The following is a 17,463-nucleotide window of genomic DNA, read 5'->3' as shown; positions in this document are numbered from 1 at the left end:
GTTAATCAAAGTAAGAATCAGAACAAGGAAGTGTTTCTCTGTGTCCTCCTAAGGGGATATGTAGGGAACATGTAAACATGTACAGAACTATTTGGAATCCTTAAACTCTAAAGATCCAGTCAACGATTCCTTGTCATTATCTTTGTATTAGCTACTTCAAAAATAATAATTTATGTCATAAGAATGTATAACTTAGATAATACAAAAACAATAAAAAATTAAGTCCAAAACTAAACATTGACTTAGTTGCTAAAACCATTATTCAAATGACAATCGCCCTCCATTAAGGTGCCCTGTTGAGAGATGATACACACAAAAGGGTTCACTATATAAGGTGCCATTTTAACATGAAATGTATTAGCAGTAATTTAAAACATTGCTTGAAGTTACTTTATACAACTGCAGCATGCTTTCTAATTTGATTTCCATGAGGTTGTGATATGCTGGTAAAGGTAAACTAGCTTGAGGGTTAACATACTCAAAGGAGAAGAGCAGGTTGTATTATTAGCTCTGCTTACTATGGTGTTTTGGTTTTCTTTTGTTTTTAAAATCAAGACTTTCTCTTATTGCATACCTCAGTGGGAGTATAGTTGCTTAGTAACCCTGCACTGACTGGGGGCTGTTGCTCTCAGAGCTATACCCGGGAGGAACCTGCGTGTGAATGAGACGGCTGTCAGCAAGCCTACACTCAAAGGATTTACCCGGTGCAGAGAGCTCCAAGAGAACACCAGAGCCCCTGGTATTCTGGTTCACTTGAATTTGTCCTCCTGCCTATTCCATATTTTTTTCACACATATAATCATTTGTTTGCAGTCCGGAAATATAAAACCATTCAAGAAACGGAGGCCCAACTATTGGTAAGAAACTTCTAATCCACATTCGGTATCTCACAATGTGTGTGGTAAGCAACTAAGTGATTTATCTTGCTCTCCTATGTCTGTTTGCTTCCTAAGTTGTGTGTCCTTCCCGTTGGATGGAATCCATCTGTTGCTCTGCTTACAGTGTGCTATGAGCATTTGAAGTTCAATGCTAATAGAGAGGAGACACTTTTTAAAAAGTTCCTTTTTTTCTAGGTTTTTTTTTTGTCCAGCAATTCAGCAATTATTATGTTAGAAATATCAAATAATAATTCAGAAAAATAAAAAACAATGGAGGCCACCATTATTGTGGGCTTACTGTGGGTGAGGCACTGTATTTTACATGTACTGTCTCATTTGGTGGTCATAACAATTCGCTGTTGTATGTGTGTGTTTGTGTGTGTGTATGTTGGGAGGGAGGTCCTATTATTATCTCAATTTTACAGATTGGAACCTGCAGCTTAGAGATGTAAAGTCACCTTCGAGGACACACAGTTAGTGATTTGCAGAGCTAGGATTGAAGCCAGGAAATCTTAATCACGATGCCAAACTATGTTGTTAAAATTACTTTAAATTACTTAGTTCAGCGAAAGGTAAGTTGTTTATAGCACACACTGTTAATACATGCCATGTAACGGTCCAGTATGAAAATCCAAATAACTCAACTGTTCTCTTGGAAAGATGCTCAGAATAAAAGAGCCTCTGGCTGTTGTTCATCTCAAAAAAAAAAAATGTGGTTCAGCAAGGAGGTTAAGAACACTATCACTTTGCAATAACACGATATCACTTTATGGCAGAATTCTGGGTCATCGGAATTTTCCCTGGATCATTAATAAAGCACTGCTTGTCCAGACAACCCATGTTTATTGGTCCCTCTGAGGGAGAAAAGAAAAAAGGAGGGGAAAGGTCGTAGAGATGTGTGAAAGAGGACCTTAGGGAAAGAGACCAATCAGGGCTTCTCTCTGTCCTGGTGGAAATGAGTTCCAGCTCCTTTTTTGTTCCTGCTCTAAGTTACTTGGCATCCTTTTCTTCTCTCTCTTGTTTCTATTAACCTCCCTCAGGGCAGAATGATAGTCACAACAGCCAATTAGGGAGACACTGAAGGAAGAAGGTGCTCCACAGCTCCTTCATTGTCCACAGAGAAACAATCACCTCAGTGGGAAGGTGGTTTTAATTGGCCCTATTCCTTTCTTTTCCTCCCCTTCCTCCCCATCAATACCCTCTCAATCAAGTTCCTTGGCCGAAAGCTAGTGAGTTACCGGGGAACCAGAAAAGCACTAATAAGCTACCACTCAGGTGGTTTGAATTATCGTACAGGCAAGTATTCTTCTGGGATTTGCTAGCTCTCGTTTCTAAGCCCCATATGTACAGCAGTGTTTCCAAGGTGAGCACCTTGGACCACCTGCATCAAGGTCACCTGGGAGCTTGTTAACAAGGCAGATTCCTGGGCAAGGCCCCAGATTCTTGCAATCAGAATCTCTGAGGGTGATACTGGGAAGTCGGCATTTTTAACAAGCTCTCCTGGTTGTTCTGGAATACATCATAGTTTGAATACATCATCGTTTGAAAACCACTGCCTTGCAACTTGCAAAGTGCTTTTACATACAACACTAGACTCAAACATCAAATTCTTCAGAGGTTTATTTTCTTATTCCCCTTTTTGTGTTGCTGTTATTTTCCTCTCTAATCGGTCTAACATCTCAAAATCAGTAGGTCTTCTGTTAAGAAGACTGAATAAGCCAGAGTCAATTTCTCTGCCAAAGATGACAATAAAAAGAAAATAAAACAACCATTAAAAACCATTTAAGATGGGAAGTCAGATGACTTCTGGGGGGACCCAGCATGGAAGAACTTAGTCTTAACTGACTCTGCATAATTTCTGGAGCAAGACTGAGTTCAAACCCTACTTTGTCACTTTGCCTCAGCTTCCTCGTCTGTAAAATAAGGGTAATAAAGCACTTACCTTATAGAGTTGTTGTTAGGGTTAAATGAATTAATAAAGGTAAAGTGCACAGGATGACTTTAAAGGGAGGGTTGTGGAGGGGGTCTCCGATTTTTAAACAACCAGATCTCACGTGAACTAACTGAGCAAGAACTCGTTTGTCACCAAGGGGATAGTGGTAAACCATTCATGATGGATTCATCCCCATGATCCAGACACCTCTCACCAGGCCCCACTTCCAACACTGGGAATCACAGTCCAACATGAGATTTGGAGGGGACACATCCAAACCACAGCACCTTCTTTCTAGAAACAGTTCAGTACTGAGACAGTGCACGTGTAATCCTATTCCTCAGGAACATGCTTGCATATGCTTTTGTTGGACACTCACTAAACAGCTACAATGTAGGGGTTATTATACTACCCACTGGAAAGTATAGGCCAATTAAGATAGAGGACCATCCCTTACAGAGCCCACATGCTACTTGAGGATCAGGTACACACATACATACATGATGATAATGGATGTGGGGATAAGAGGATGTGGATTGGTAGTTGAGGGACATAAATGCAGTAATAGGAGATGCAGACAAAATGGAAAAATTAAACAAATCAACTCTCCTAGACAGGGGAGGGGAGGCTTTTTCAGGTAAGACTTCCCACAGAAAATGATGTTTAGGCTTAGTCTTGTGGGATATGTAGAAGTTAAAAATATTAACTATTTCCTATGTGCCAGGCACTGCTCTGCATATTTTACACATTAATGCATTTAAGGCCAACAACCTTGTGAGCCTAGTTAGCCACTACCATTCTTTTACTGGACAAGAGAAAACTGAGGCACTGAGAGATTAAGTACTTTGCCTAAGGTCACACCACTAATGAAGGCGCAGAGCCATAATGGGTGGCAGTTTTGCTCCAGACTCTGTAATTCTCACTTTCAGGCAAGATAAAGTGTGCAGAGGTGAAAGAGCTCTGAAGTGGGGACACCCCAAAAGTCTGCATTGGATGGAGAGACGTGGCAGGATGTTAGGCTATGTAGCCAAGGGGGAACCCGTCATGAAGGGAGTCTGAGGTCCCCCTGGGAATGAACTTTTTTCTGTGGATAGTGGGTCGCCACAGGAAGGAGAGGGGCCCGATCAGATTGTTATAATAAAGTCAATCTGGCCTAGGCCAAGAGAAAAGGCCAGAAAAAGGAGACACTCTGGTTTTGTATAAAATTAAAACCGCCAATATTTACTGCCACTTTTTCTTTCCAAGATACTAAGAAAAAACCCAAACCTTAAATAGCAGAAAAGATACAGCTGCTCTGGCCTATATGCAGAATCCTTTACTACTATCTTCTGCATGATATACATCTGTGTTTACTCAAGTCCCAGATTTAATTGGATTTAAATAAGAATCTGAGCACAGTCACCCAGAAGGCCTGACATAAATAGAAGAGTATCAAGGGGTCGGAGAAGACACATCCTGTCTGCTTCTATAGAAAGCAGATTCAAGGATTCCCCACCTGCGTCTTCTTCCCCCTCCTGGTAAAGAGCTGCTCCTCATGTCACTAAGCAACAAATGGGCACTTGGGGAGTCCACATCTCATCACTCCCACTCCTTCTCTCTCCTCAAGAAGCCAACTAAATGCTATGGTTTGGATTTATTTCTCTCGTTATCTTTATCAAGCATGATAAAAATGCTTTGTTCTGCTTTTGGCTCTCACAAAGAGCCTGTTTCATCATCAACATAACTGTAAAGCTAAAATATGGTTGGGACGTTTGCCATCATTTTGCAGGTTTAGGTTGCCAGGCACACTTGCAGAACTTAATTCTTTGTTTTCTAACTACAGTTGCCTGCCTGCTTTTCGAGGAAGTTCTTAGTAGGTGAGAAGTGACCCAGGTATTGTGGCCTCATGATCTGAGCATAAAGGCCTCATATGCTCAGGGTTAACTAGGTCTCTTTTATTCATGACAGTATATTATGCTTTGAAAAAACATAAAAATAATTAAAATATTAGCCTCTAATTCTGCCACATAAAATAAGACTAATTGTTGCTAAAAGAGTGAAATTGAACTGTATGTGGCGACAGTATTTTTCCCTAATACTACCACTCCAGAAGTGTAGTATTAAGGAAAATGGAATTGTCCTCTGAGAACTAAACTATAAACTACATCATTGTTCAGATGAGAGATATGCAAAATCGCCCTAAGAAACATAGGGACTCACGGGTGAGCAAGATGAGACTCATTTGATTGAGAATATTCATATATCTAAAGACTTAATGAATTAATTAGCTTGTGGATGGTGGAGCACAAATCCAGCCGAGTCACTGGGGCAAATACTGGCTGTGGCCATTAGGAACTGTCCATTAGAGGCTGTGTCTTTTCAGACTCCTCCCAATATTCACTTGTAGAGGAGGCACCCAGCTATCACAGCCTGATGCCCCTAAACATTTGAATCATGCAATTAACTCCTCTCCGCTCTGATTCCATCTCTACCAGTAACTTTCTGATGACAATTTGGCTTTCTGTGTGATCTACCCGTGGGAAGAATACAAGTGTTTGGCTACCTTGGTTGTTATTGATTCTCAGTGAAAATTAACAGTTGCTATGCTGTGTTAGAGACTTGAACCTCCTAGGGCTTAGTCAGCATGAATTAGCACCCACTAATTGTCAGGGTTTGATAAGATGAGGCATCTGGATGTGTCAGGCTGTTGGCAGGAAGATAACTGATTCAAGTGGTGGCTCTTTGTGAGACCTTGACAGCCACACAAGGCTTTCTTGTGACCCGTATGTAGATTTCCCACCTTCTGGGCTTCAATTCCATTCCAAGATCTGCCCATCTAAGAAGTCAGAAAATCCTAGGAGCTCTCATTTATTGCCATTCCTCATACTTTGTTTTTAGGGTTTGCGTCCTCATCTGCCTTTCCAGACCAGCAGTTCCCAAAAGCCAGTGTGAGAACCATCTGCATCAGAGTGACCAGTCTGTGAAGATCAAGCATAGGAATGCCAGGACTCCACCCTACATGTCCTTTATCTGGGGTGGTGCCCAGGTATCTATTTATCATGCTCTCTGGGTAATTCTGATAAGGAGCCACATTCCAGAATCCCTGTCTAGATAAGTAGTTCTCAAAATTGGCAACGCGATAGAATCACTCTTAGAAAATGTTAATGCCCAGGCTTTACCCCAGAATAATTAAATCCTAGTCTTTTTTTGGAGGTGAGACGTGGGCATGGGTGTTTGTAAAACACTCTCTAGGTGAGTCTAATGTATTGTGAGTGTTGAGAACTTTTGGCTCAGAACTGTGATTCTCAAAGTGTATTACCTGGAAACTTAAAATGTAAATTCTCAGATTAACTAGACCCTCTAAAGCAGCAACCCTGGGGAAGGGTCCCAGCAATCTGTGGCTTAAACCTCTCTAGGTGATTCTGAGGCTTCATTGGCTTAGACTGTTTTGCAGAGCCTCCTCATTGACTTTCTGTGGCTAGTCTCTCTTTTCCCAGATCCGTCCTCCACAATAAAAATATTTTTGCCTTGTCACCCCACACTCAAAAGCATCCAGTGGCTCCATACTGCCTGCAGACATCCTTTGCCTGGCATTCATGCCTTCACTGGTCTACCCCAACCCTAGGCTTCAGTTCACTAGCAGAATAGGAGAAACCAGGCTTGCTGATCCCTAGACAGTGGTTTCCCATTTTGCTTATGCTGCTCCTTTGGTAAAAATCCTGGCCAGGCGTAGTGGCTCATGCCTGTAATTGCAGCACTTTGGGAGGCCAAGGTGGGCAGATCACCTGAGGTCAGGAGTTCAAGACCAGCCTGTACAACATGGTAAAACCTCATCTCTATTAAAAATACAAAAATTAGCCTAGTGCAGTGGCATGCACCTGTAATCTCAGCTACTTGGGAGACTAGGGCAGGACAATTGCTTGAACCTGGGAGGTGGAGGTTGCAGTGAACTGAGATCACTCTAGTGCACTCCAGCCTGGGTGACAGAGTGAGACTTCTTCTCAAAAAAAAAAATCCTGGAGAACAGGGAGCATGTTTGCAAATGCCACAATCCCTAACCTGGCATTGTTCACAGAAAAGGAAGTCCTTACACATTTGCAGTGTATGACTGTGCAAGTGTATGAGTGAGTGAGAGATTTTGTGCTTGTCTTTAACGCGCCTCTACATAATCTATCGCAGGTTCTCCATTCAGCCTGGAGAACAACTCACCTGAACCTTTTTTGTTTGTTTTTAAGCACTCAAGCCCATCAGGGCATGTGCAATATTCTGTTCCCACATTAAAACAATCAGTCTGGTATGAAAAGTTCCTTAGAGATGGGTGATTGGAAGGAGGCAGGAGGGGACTCCTGGGGTATGGATAACGTTTAATTTCCTGATGGGGGTGCTGGTTACATGTGTTCTCTCTACAGGAATTTATTACACTAAATACAATAATTTAAATTTTTCTGCCTGTATGTCTTACTTCAATACAAAGTTACAAAAAATCTTTTCATGCAGTTGTTCTCCAGCTTCTCAAATTCTAATTCGACCAGAGCTTATCAAGCATTGGTGATGTGCCAAGAACAGGGCTGGTTGCTTTCATATTTTATTTGATTTTTACCTTCATAACTCTGTGAAGTGGGAACTGGCATTATTGCTTTTTACTCATGAGGAAGTGAGGCTTGCAGAAATGAAGAAACTTACCAAGTTCACACAGGTGGCCAGTGTCAGGATAAAACTGGAATCTAGTTATCGTATCACAAAGTGCTACAGTTTTCTTTCCGCTCCACTATGACTCTTCAAGAGAAGTCTTTAAATGGAGTGTATGAATAAAAAATTACAATGATTTTGTTTTTTATTAGAAATCATCAAAGAAAACATTAAGTTGCCTTCTTAGTTTTCTTTCCTTTTCTTTTCTTTCTTTCTTTCTTTTTTTTTTTTTGTGAGACGGAGTTTTGCTCTTGTTGCCCAGGCTGGAGTGCAATGGCGCTATCTCAGCTCACTACAACCTCCACCTCCCGGGTTCAAGCGATTCTCCTGCCTGAGCCTTCCCAGTAGCTGGGACTACAGGTGACTGACACCACGCTTGGCTAATTTTTGTATTTTTAGTAGGGACGGGGTTTCACTATGTTGGGCAGGCTGGTCTCAAACTCCTGACCTCGTGATCCCCCCTCAGCTTCCCAAAGTGCTGGGATTACAGGCATGAGCCACTGTGCCCGGCCCTTCGCCTTCTTAGTTTTCATTCCAGATATTTTGTTTTCCTTTGTCTCTTTGCTAAGATGGAAACTGATCACTAGTTTAAGGCAGGTTTAAATGTTGGGCAGTTGAAGCATTGTTTAAAAGTACGGCAGAGTCCTGGAGGTCCCTTCAGCGCCAAGAGGACCCTGGAGGTCCTGTCTGCATCTTCCCTGCCAGATTTCAGGGGGAGAGGCCAGAAAAGCCAGGGTGGTAAGAAAGGAATGTGGAGGTTTTGGGCAGTGGCTATTTAGTAACTGCTGTAGAAGTATTTCAATAGTGCAGCTCCTGGTTTAGGCTGTGCTGCTGTGTGCAAGGAGAATACCAGCCCTGGGGTGAGTTGAACCTAAAGTAGAATATCGTCCTGCCCTGCATACACACCTTTGATGATAAGAGACTTTTCTCAAGGAAGAGTCTTGGCTTTACAATTGGCCATCTTGACAGTAACTTATAATTTGTTAAGAATTCACGCTGATTTTTCTTCACTAATGTCTACAGGCTTCCCGATTATTCTACCAACTCTACCAAATCCTTGTTCTTCGTTGCACAATTAGCTGTGAAACAGACAGAGGTTACCTACAATAAGGTAAGTGTGAAAAGGAGTCCTTCTGCCTATGAGTGTAAGGCAAGAAACAAGAAGGAAAAAAAAGAGAAATGGTGTAGAGTAGAAAGCAACAAGCAACTGACACCAGGAAAGGTCTCCTGTGCCCCACAGTGTATTAATCATTTTTATACATTTGGTGCCACTGTTACATATTGCTTTAATAACAGAATAAGTGCTGAACATGAAACAAAATAAAATTGTTTAAGACTAAGCAATGGAAAAGGATTCAGGCCTGTGAGCTCAATCCAGCGTTGTTCCCAGTTAACTTACTTGGCAATCAAGAATAGTATATGACATCTCTGCTGTCTCAAAACTCCCACATAGTACATAGTTTGGAATGCTTAGAAAAAACTGGCCTGGTCCCCAACGAAACCCACATGTTACTACTGATTTTCTTATATCCTCCAGTCACCAATTAGAAATTAGAATAAAAACAACAGAAAGCAATTTAAAAAATGGTCCTCCAGACGAAGTAGACCATGTGGCTGCTTACTTCACATTGATTCTTGCTTTCCTTTTTCTAAGAAAACCTTAAATTTCATTCGAGTGTGTACCTCACCCCCACTTCAGAGGGAATCTTGATTAGTTAGCTAGCACCATCCAATAGAAATATAGGAAGCCATATAAGTAATTTAAAGTTTTCTAGCAGTCACATTTTTAAAAAAGTAAAAAGAAACAGGTAAATTAATTTTAATAATGTATTTTATTTAATCTAATATATCTGAAATACATTGTCAATATAATCAGTATAGAAATTATTAATGAGCTATATTACATTTTTTTCATATTACGTCTTTAAAATCCAGTGTATCTTTTTCACTTACAGTGCATGTCATTTTGGACTAGCCATATTTCAAGGGCTCAGTATGGCTAATGGCCACTATATTGGACATCGACGGTCAAACCCATTTTACATTCCCCTGACAACTATGATTGGTGTGAGGCCTATGATGGCCCAACTAGGCTGACAGCAAAGATCTTTCCTGTTGGCAAAGATCATCTTTCTCTCTCCTGCTGGCAAGAACAAGAAAGAATAAAGGTCTGATCAACCCATGAGCTTTCTTGGGATTTATGAGGAGAACCAGACTTTGGATGAAACTGACATTGAAATGAGCAGGATGGAGAGAAAAATCCTAGGGGTTTGGTGACAATACTGGGCTGCTGATTAAACTTGGAGTTTGCCCTGACTCTGAACTTTCTATTTAGTGAGATAATAATTGTCTCAATTGTTTAAGCTAGCTTGTGTTGCTTCCAGCTAAAAGAGTGCCAGCTATATACAATGTGCAAGCTGACATGTTGTCATGCTCTGACACTGATGAACACACCCCCACAAGGCTGTGAAGTAGTAGGGGAAGAACTAACCTGCATGGAGTTGGAAGGGGGGGAAAAACAAAATCAAACCATATGGAAAGCAGTTGAATTCACTGCATTAAATATACTTTTTAAAATGTACAACATAATAGCCATATGTTTAAGTCAGAATCATCTGCAAAGCACGCATGTTCACTTTCTGTTCCAGAGTCAGGCGTCTGAATTCTGTGAGCAAAGCCTAGAGAAAAAAAACTAAGCCTATGCCAGATTTACAGGAATAGTTATCTTTATAAAGACTATATGAACTGTAATACAAAGTTACAAAGCTGAAGGCAAAGCTTTTCAATAAAGCAAGTGGCTCTCAAAGAGATACCTTCAAGAGTGTGGTTCTATGTTTCCCACCTAGTGCTAAGTAAAACATACATTTCAATTAGAATTAGAATGTACTTCAGGAAGTAAATTATTAAATGACCTAGCACATTTTGATGTTTTTAAAAGCCCAAACTCCCAGCTGTGGAGAACAATGAGTCTTTAATGATAATTTATTCCCCTCTTGTTCCCATGATTGCTAGATAGCTGGGGGCCCTAGATACTTATTGGGCTCCAGGGACCCAATGTGGGCATTGTCAGAGGAGGATACCAATTAGCAGGTTTGGTTTCACAAAGAAGCAAAGATTGCCCTGAGGTGAAAAACTCTGTCTCAGAGAAAACACCCTTGAACTTGAATTGTCTTTTTTGCTCATCATTAGAAGTCAGCAAAGGATTTAGCCTCTCCCTCACCAATTCATTATCCACACTCTTCAGAAAAAAAAAAATAATAATAAAATAAAATATTTTCTCTTATTATGAAGGTGACAATAAAGACAGTAAGCTTACCACATGCAGAAAAGAGAGTGACCACTTTCTACTAGTTTTAATGGCACTATCACTGCTTCCAAAAATTGCTTTAGGTCACTTACGGCCCCTGGAGATAAACATCTGAGGATTCTGCATAAGGTCCTTAATGGGTGTTTTCAGGACAGCATAATTACCTGAGGCTTGTAAGAGTGAAAAGCATCAGCCTCAAGGTTACTGAATAATGTATGGTTGCCTGTTTGTCTATTAGAGAGAGATAAAGAAGAACAAAAATCCAGTCACCATATGAATCACAATTTTATTATCTTTTTCATTCATTTAGTATTTCATTCAACACATTTGAAAGCATTTATTATGCACCAGGCACTGTACTAAACACTTTAGATTCTAGTATGATTAAGACAGCAGAGTTCTACCCATTGAGATGTTCACAATCTAGGTGGGGAAGGACATGGAGAATGAAGAATAAGCAGACCATTAATTCCCAGAAAGGAGTAGGGTTACCTCTGGGCCCCTGCGGAGGTCAATGAAGCTTTGTCTATGGCCTTTAAGAGCTTTTCATTTTTCTCAGCAGCAGGGATCTGTCCATTCTATATCTTTTTTTTTTTTTTTTCAATCTTCAAACATTTTATTACCTTTCTGGCTACATAGTGAATTCAGTGTCTTCATACTGAATGGTAGAAGATGGGAAGGAATTTTTCTTTTGCTTGGAAGTAAGTAACCATTTTTGGGTTGCTAAAGTCAATATTTAGCCCCTTCCCTGAGCACCCCCTCCGCTCAATCCCTATGCCCTGGCACCCATATAAATAAATAAAATGTTTAAAAAACTAAGTCAATATTTATTCATAAAATTATATCCTAGTCTTAAATAAGTTCAGACTTCAGAGCCAGACTGTCTGGGTTTGAAACCCAAGCTCTACTCTTACCAAATGTATGATGCTGACAAGTTGTCAAATCTCTGTGTTCCTCAGTTCCTTCATAATTAAAATGAAAAGTTCATAGGATAGTATGGATATATAAATATAAGTATAGACTTATTATGAGTATTGAATAAATGAACATACTAGCACCTGGCATACAATATTAATGGTATTATATCTCAATACAAGGGACTTACATTGCTACTTAGTGATTAGATTTGACAATCAGTAAGGAAAATGAATTTAAACATAACTGGTTCTTGAAAGTCCTTAGGAAGCAACATTTTTGGAGACCCACAGCCCACCTCTCAATATGTCTAGCACTGTCAATTTTTCCTTCAATGTTAAAACAAATTGTTGGTTTCTCGGATTGAACATTAAGTAGTATAGCAGGTTTGCCTGTAGGGAACATATCACACCAAAAGGCCACATTTTGAAACAACTTCATGTTGAGAGGCACCAAGAACTAAGCCTGATCTGAGAAGAACAAACTTCCTTTTCATCTCATGGTCATTTAGTGAAATGGCAGGCCAGAATTGTGACCCAATTTAAGTGATTTGTTTCCTCCTCTTTGACCAACTCCTCCTTTTGTCTGTTTTTGCCAAGACACAATAATTGAATTTAGAAAAATTAAATATAAAGCAATGACCTTTTACTAACATCTTGAGGTGCAACCCTTATTAATTTTCATTTGGGAAAGATAACTCAAGTTGTGTCATGTAAGCCATAAGCTTCTCGGGTGGCTGAATAGGAACAGCTCCAGTCTGCAGCTCCCAGCATGATGGATGCAGAAGACAGGTGATTTCTGCATTTCCAAGTGAGGTACCTGGTTCATCTCACTGGGACTGGTTGAACAGTGGTACAGCCCATGGAGGTCGAGTTGAAGCAGGCCAGGGCATCGCCTCATCCAGGAAGTGCAAAGGGACAGAGGATTTCCCTTTCCTAGCCAAGGGAAGCCATGACAAACTGTACTGGAAAAACCAGACATTTCCACCTAAATATTGCGCTTTTCCAATGGTCTTAACAAACAGTACACCAGGAGATTATATCCCATGCCTGGCTCAGTGGGTCCCTTACCCACAGGGCCTTGCTCACTGCTAGCTCAGCAGTCTGAGATCAACCTGTGAGGCAATAGTCTGGCGGTAGAGGGGCGTCGGCCATTGCTGAGGCTTGAGTAAGTAAAGCAGCCAGGGAAGCTCGAACTGGGTGGAGCCCACCACAGCTCAGTAAGGCCTGCTGCCTGTTGACTCCTTCTCTGGGGGCAGGTCATAGCTAAACAAAAGGTAGCAGAAACTTCTGCAGACTTAAACATCCCTGTCTGACAGCTCTGAAGAGAACAGTGGTTGTTCCAGCATGGCATTTGAGCTCTGAGAACAGACAGACTGCCTCCTCAAGTGGGTCCCTGACCTCTGTGTAGCCTAACTGGGAGACACCTCCCAATAGGGGCTGACTGACACCTCATTCACGCAGGTGCCCTCTGGGACAAAGCTTCCAGAGGAAGGATCAGGCAGCAATTTTTGCTGTTCTGCAGCCTCTACTGGTGATATCCAGGCAAACAGCGTCTGGAGTGGACCCCCAGCAAACTCCAAGAGACCTGCAGCTGAGGGACCTGTTAGAAGGAAAAGTAACAAACAGAAAGGAATAGCATCAACATCAACAAAAAGGACATCCACATCAAAAGCCCATCTGTAGATCACCAACATCAAAGACCAAAGGTAGATAAAACCACAAAGATGGGGAGAAACCAGAGCTTTTTAGAAAAGCTGAAAATTCCGAAAACCAGAATGCCTCTTCTCCTCCAAAGGATCACAGCTCCTCACCAGCAACAGGACAAAGCTGGACAAAGAATGACTTTGATGAGTTGACTGAAGTAGGCTTCAGAAGGTTGGTAATAACAAACTTTTCCAAGCTGAAGGAGAATGTTCAAACCCATCACAAGGAAGCTTAGGAAGATTAGACGAATGGCTAACTAGAATAAGCAGTATAGAGAAGACCTTAAATGACCTGATGGAGCTGAAAACTGTGCACAAGAACTATGTGATGCATGCACAAGCTTCAGTAGCTGATTCAATCAAGTAGAAGAAAGGGTATCAGTGATTGAAGATCAAATGAATGAAATAAAGCAAGAACAGAAGTTTAGAGAAAAAAGAGTAAAAAGAAATGAACAAAGCCTCTAAGAAATATGAGACTATAAAAAAGACCAAATCTACATTTGATGGGTGTACTGAAAGTGATGGGGAGAATGGAACCAAGTTGAAAAACACTCTTCAGGGTATTATCCAGGAGAACCTCCCCAACCTAGCAAGGCAGGCCAACATTCAAATTCAGGAAATACAGAGAACACCACAAAGATACTCCTTGAGAAGAGCAAACCCAAGACACATAATTGTCAGATTCACCAAGGTTGAAATGAAGGAAAAAATGCTAAGGGCAGCCAGAGAGAAAGGTCGGATTACCCACAAAGGGAAGCCCATCAGACTAACAGCGGATCTCTTGGCAGAAACTCTACAAGCCAGAAGAGAGGGGGGGCCAATATTCAACATTCTTAAAGAAAAGAATTTTCAACCTAGAATTTCATATCCAGCCAAACTAAGCTTCATAAGTGAAGGAGAAATAAAATACTTTACAGACAAGCAAATGCTCAGAGATTTTGTCACCACCAGGCCTACCTTACAAGAGCTCCTGAAGGAAGCACTAAACATGGAAAGGAACAGCCAGTACCAGCCACTGCAAAAACATGCCAAATTGTAAAGACCATCGATGCTAGGAAGAAACTGCATCAACTAATGGGCAAAATAACCAGCTAACATCATAACGACAGGATCAAATTCACACATAACAATATTAACCTTAAATGCAAATGGGCTAAATGCCCCAATTAAAAGACTCAGAATGGCAAATTGGATAAAGAGTCAACACCCATCAGTGTGCTGTATTCAGGAGACCCATCTCACGTGCAGAGACACACACTGGCTCAAAATAAAGGGATGGAAGAAGATCTACCAAGCAAATAGAAAGCAAAAAAAGCAGGAGTTGCAATCCTAGTCTCTGATAAAACAGGCTTTAAACCAACAAAGATCAAAAGAGACAAAGAAGGCCATTACATAATGGTAAAGGGATCAATTCAACAAGAAGAGCTGACTATCCTAAATATATATGCACCCAATACAGGAGCACCCAGATTCATAAAGCAAGTCCTTAGAGACCTACAAAGAGACTTAGACTCCCACACAATAATAATGGGAGACTTTAACACCCCACTGTCAAAATTAGACAGATCAACGAGACAGAAGGTTAACAAGGATATCCAGGAATTGAACTCAGCTCTGCACCAAGCAGATCTAATAGACATATACAGAACTCTCCACCCCAAATCAGCAGAATATATGTTCTTCTCAGCACCACATTGCACTTATTCCACAATTGACCACATATTTGGAAATAAAGCACTCCTCAGCAAATGTAAAAGAACAGATATCATAACAAACTGTCTCTCAGACCACAGTGCAATCAAATTAGAACTCAGGATTAAGAAACTCACTCAAAACTGCACAACTACATGGAAACTGAACCACCCGCTCCTGAATGACTACTGGGTAAATAATGAAATGAAGGCAGAAATAAAGATGTTCTTTGAAACCAATGAGAACAAAGACAAAAGGTACCAGAATATCTGGGACACATTTAAAGCAGTGTGTAGAGGGAAATTTATAGCACTAAATGCCCACAAGAGAAAGCAGGAAAGATCTAAAATTGACACTCTAGCATCACAATTAAGAGAACTAGAGAAGCAAGAGCAAACAAATTTAAAAGCTAGCAGAAGGCAAGAAATAACTAAGATCAGAGCAGAACTGAAGGAGATAGAGACACAAAAACCCCTTCAAAAAATCAACAAATCCAGAAGCTTGTTCTTTGAAAAGATAACAAAATTGATAGGCAGCTAGCCAGAATAATAAAGAAGAAAGAAGAATCAAACAGACACAATAAAAAATGATAAAGGGGATATCACCACTGATCACACAGAAATACAAACTACCATCAGAGAACACTATAAATGCAAATAAACTAGAAAATCTAGAAGAAATGGATAAATTCCTGGACACATACACCCTCTCAAGACTAAACCAGGAAGAAGTTGAATCTCTGAATAGACCAATAACAGGCTCTGAAATTGAGGCAATAATTAATAGCCTACCAACCAAAAAAATTCCAGGACCAGATGGATTGACAGCTGAATTCTACCAGAGGTACAAAGAGGAGCTGGTACCATTCCTTCTGAAACTATTCCAATCAATAGAAAAAGAGGGAATCCTCCCTAACTCATTTTATGAGGCCAGCATCATCCTGATACCAAAGCCTGGCACAGACACAACAAAAAAAGAGAATTTTAGACCAATATCCCTGATGAACATTGATGCAAAAATCCTCAATAAAATACTGGCAAACTGAATCCAGCAGCACATCAAAAAGCTTATCAACACAATCAAGGTGGCTTCATCCCTGGGATGAAAGGCTGGTTCAACATATGCAAATCAATAAATGTAATCCATCACATAAACAGAACCAATGACAAAAAAACACATGATTATCTCAATAGATGCAGAAAAGGCCTTTGACAAGATTCAACAGCCCTTCATGCTAAAAACTCTCAATAAACTAGGTATAGATGGGACCTATCTCAAAATAATAAGAGCAATTTATAACAAACCCACAGCCAATATCATACTGAATTGGCAAAAACTGGAAGCATTCCCTTTGAAAACCGGCACAAGAGAGGGATGCCCTCTCTCACCACTCCTATTCAACATAGTGTTGGAAGTTCTGGCCAGGGCAATCAGGCAGGAGAAGGAAATAAAGGGTATTCAATTAGGAAAAGAGGAAGTCGAATTGTCCCTGTTTGCAGATGACATGATTGTATATTTAGAAAACCCAATCATCTGGCCAGGTGTGGGGACTCACACTTGTAATCCCAGCACTTTAGGGGGCTGAGGCGGGTGGATCACAAGTTCAGGAGATCAAGACCATCCTGGCTAACATGGTGAAACTCCATCTCTACTAAAAATACAAAAAAAAAAAAAAAAAAAAATTAGCTGGACGTGGTGGCAGGTGCCTGTAGTCCCAGCTACTCAGGAGGCTGAGGCAGGAGAATGGCATGAACCCAGGAGGCAGAGCTTGCAGTGAGCCAAGATCATGCCACTGCACTCCAGCCTGGGCAACAGAGTGAGACTCCATCTCAAAAAAAAAAAAAAAAAAAGCAAGAAAGCAAGAAAGAAAAGAAAGCCCCATCATCTCAGCCCAAAATCTCCTAAAGCTGATAAGCAACTTAAGCAAAGTCTCAGGATACAAAATCAATGTGCAAAAATCACAAACATTCCTATACACCAATAACAGACAAACAGAGAGCCAAATCATGAGTGAACTCACATTCACAATTGCTACAAAGAGAATACAATACCTAGGAATCCAACTTACAAGGGATGTGAAGGACCTCTTCAAGGAGAACTACAAACTACTGCTCTACAAAATAAAGGAGGACACAAAGACATGGAAGAACATTCCACGCTTATGGATAGGAAGAATCAATATCATGAAAATGGCCATACTGCCCAAGGTAATTTATAGATTCGATGCCATCCCCATCAAACTACCAATGACTTTCTTTACAGAATTGGAAAAAACTACTTTAAAGTTCATATGGAACCAAAAAAGAGCCCGCATTGCCAAGAGGCTGGAGGCATCATGCTACCTGACTTCAAACTATACTACAAG

The 17,463-nt window shown here is 40.7% G+C and overlaps 1 long non-coding RNA gene across 1 annotated transcript, besides 1 other annotated feature; it reads left to right on the top strand.

The window, feature by feature from the left end:
• The first annotated feature begins 764 nt into the window (after window positions 1–764).
• LINC01338 (long intergenic non-protein coding RNA 1338) lies at window positions 765–9,737 on the top strand. The gene is made up of 4 exons (NR_105016.1): window positions 765–857; window positions 5,689–5,836; window positions 8,503–8,590; window positions 9,435–9,737. It is a non-coding gene; the product is annotated as a long intergenic non-protein coding RNA 1338 (long non-coding RNA).
• Window positions 10,216–10,743: an enhancer, noted in NCBI's record as "NANOG hESC enhancer chr5:82145677-82146204 (GRCh37/hg19 assembly coordinates)". NCBI's record gives its function as "activates a minimal SCP1, AML or CMV promoter by ChIP-STARR-seq in naive H9 embryonic stem cells {active_cell/tissue: H9 hESC(naive)}" and the evidence as "EXISTENCE:reporter gene assay evidence [ECO:0000049][PMID:30033119]".

Source organism: Homo sapiens, chromosome 5 (assembly GCF_000001405.40).
Source record: "Homo sapiens chromosome 5, GRCh38.p14 Primary Assembly".
Taxonomy (NCBI): domain Eukaryota; kingdom Metazoa; phylum Chordata; class Mammalia; order Primates; family Hominidae; genus Homo; species Homo sapiens.
The sequence above is the reverse complement of the archived record's forward strand: the minus strand, read 5'-3'. Positions and strand labels throughout refer to the sequence as shown.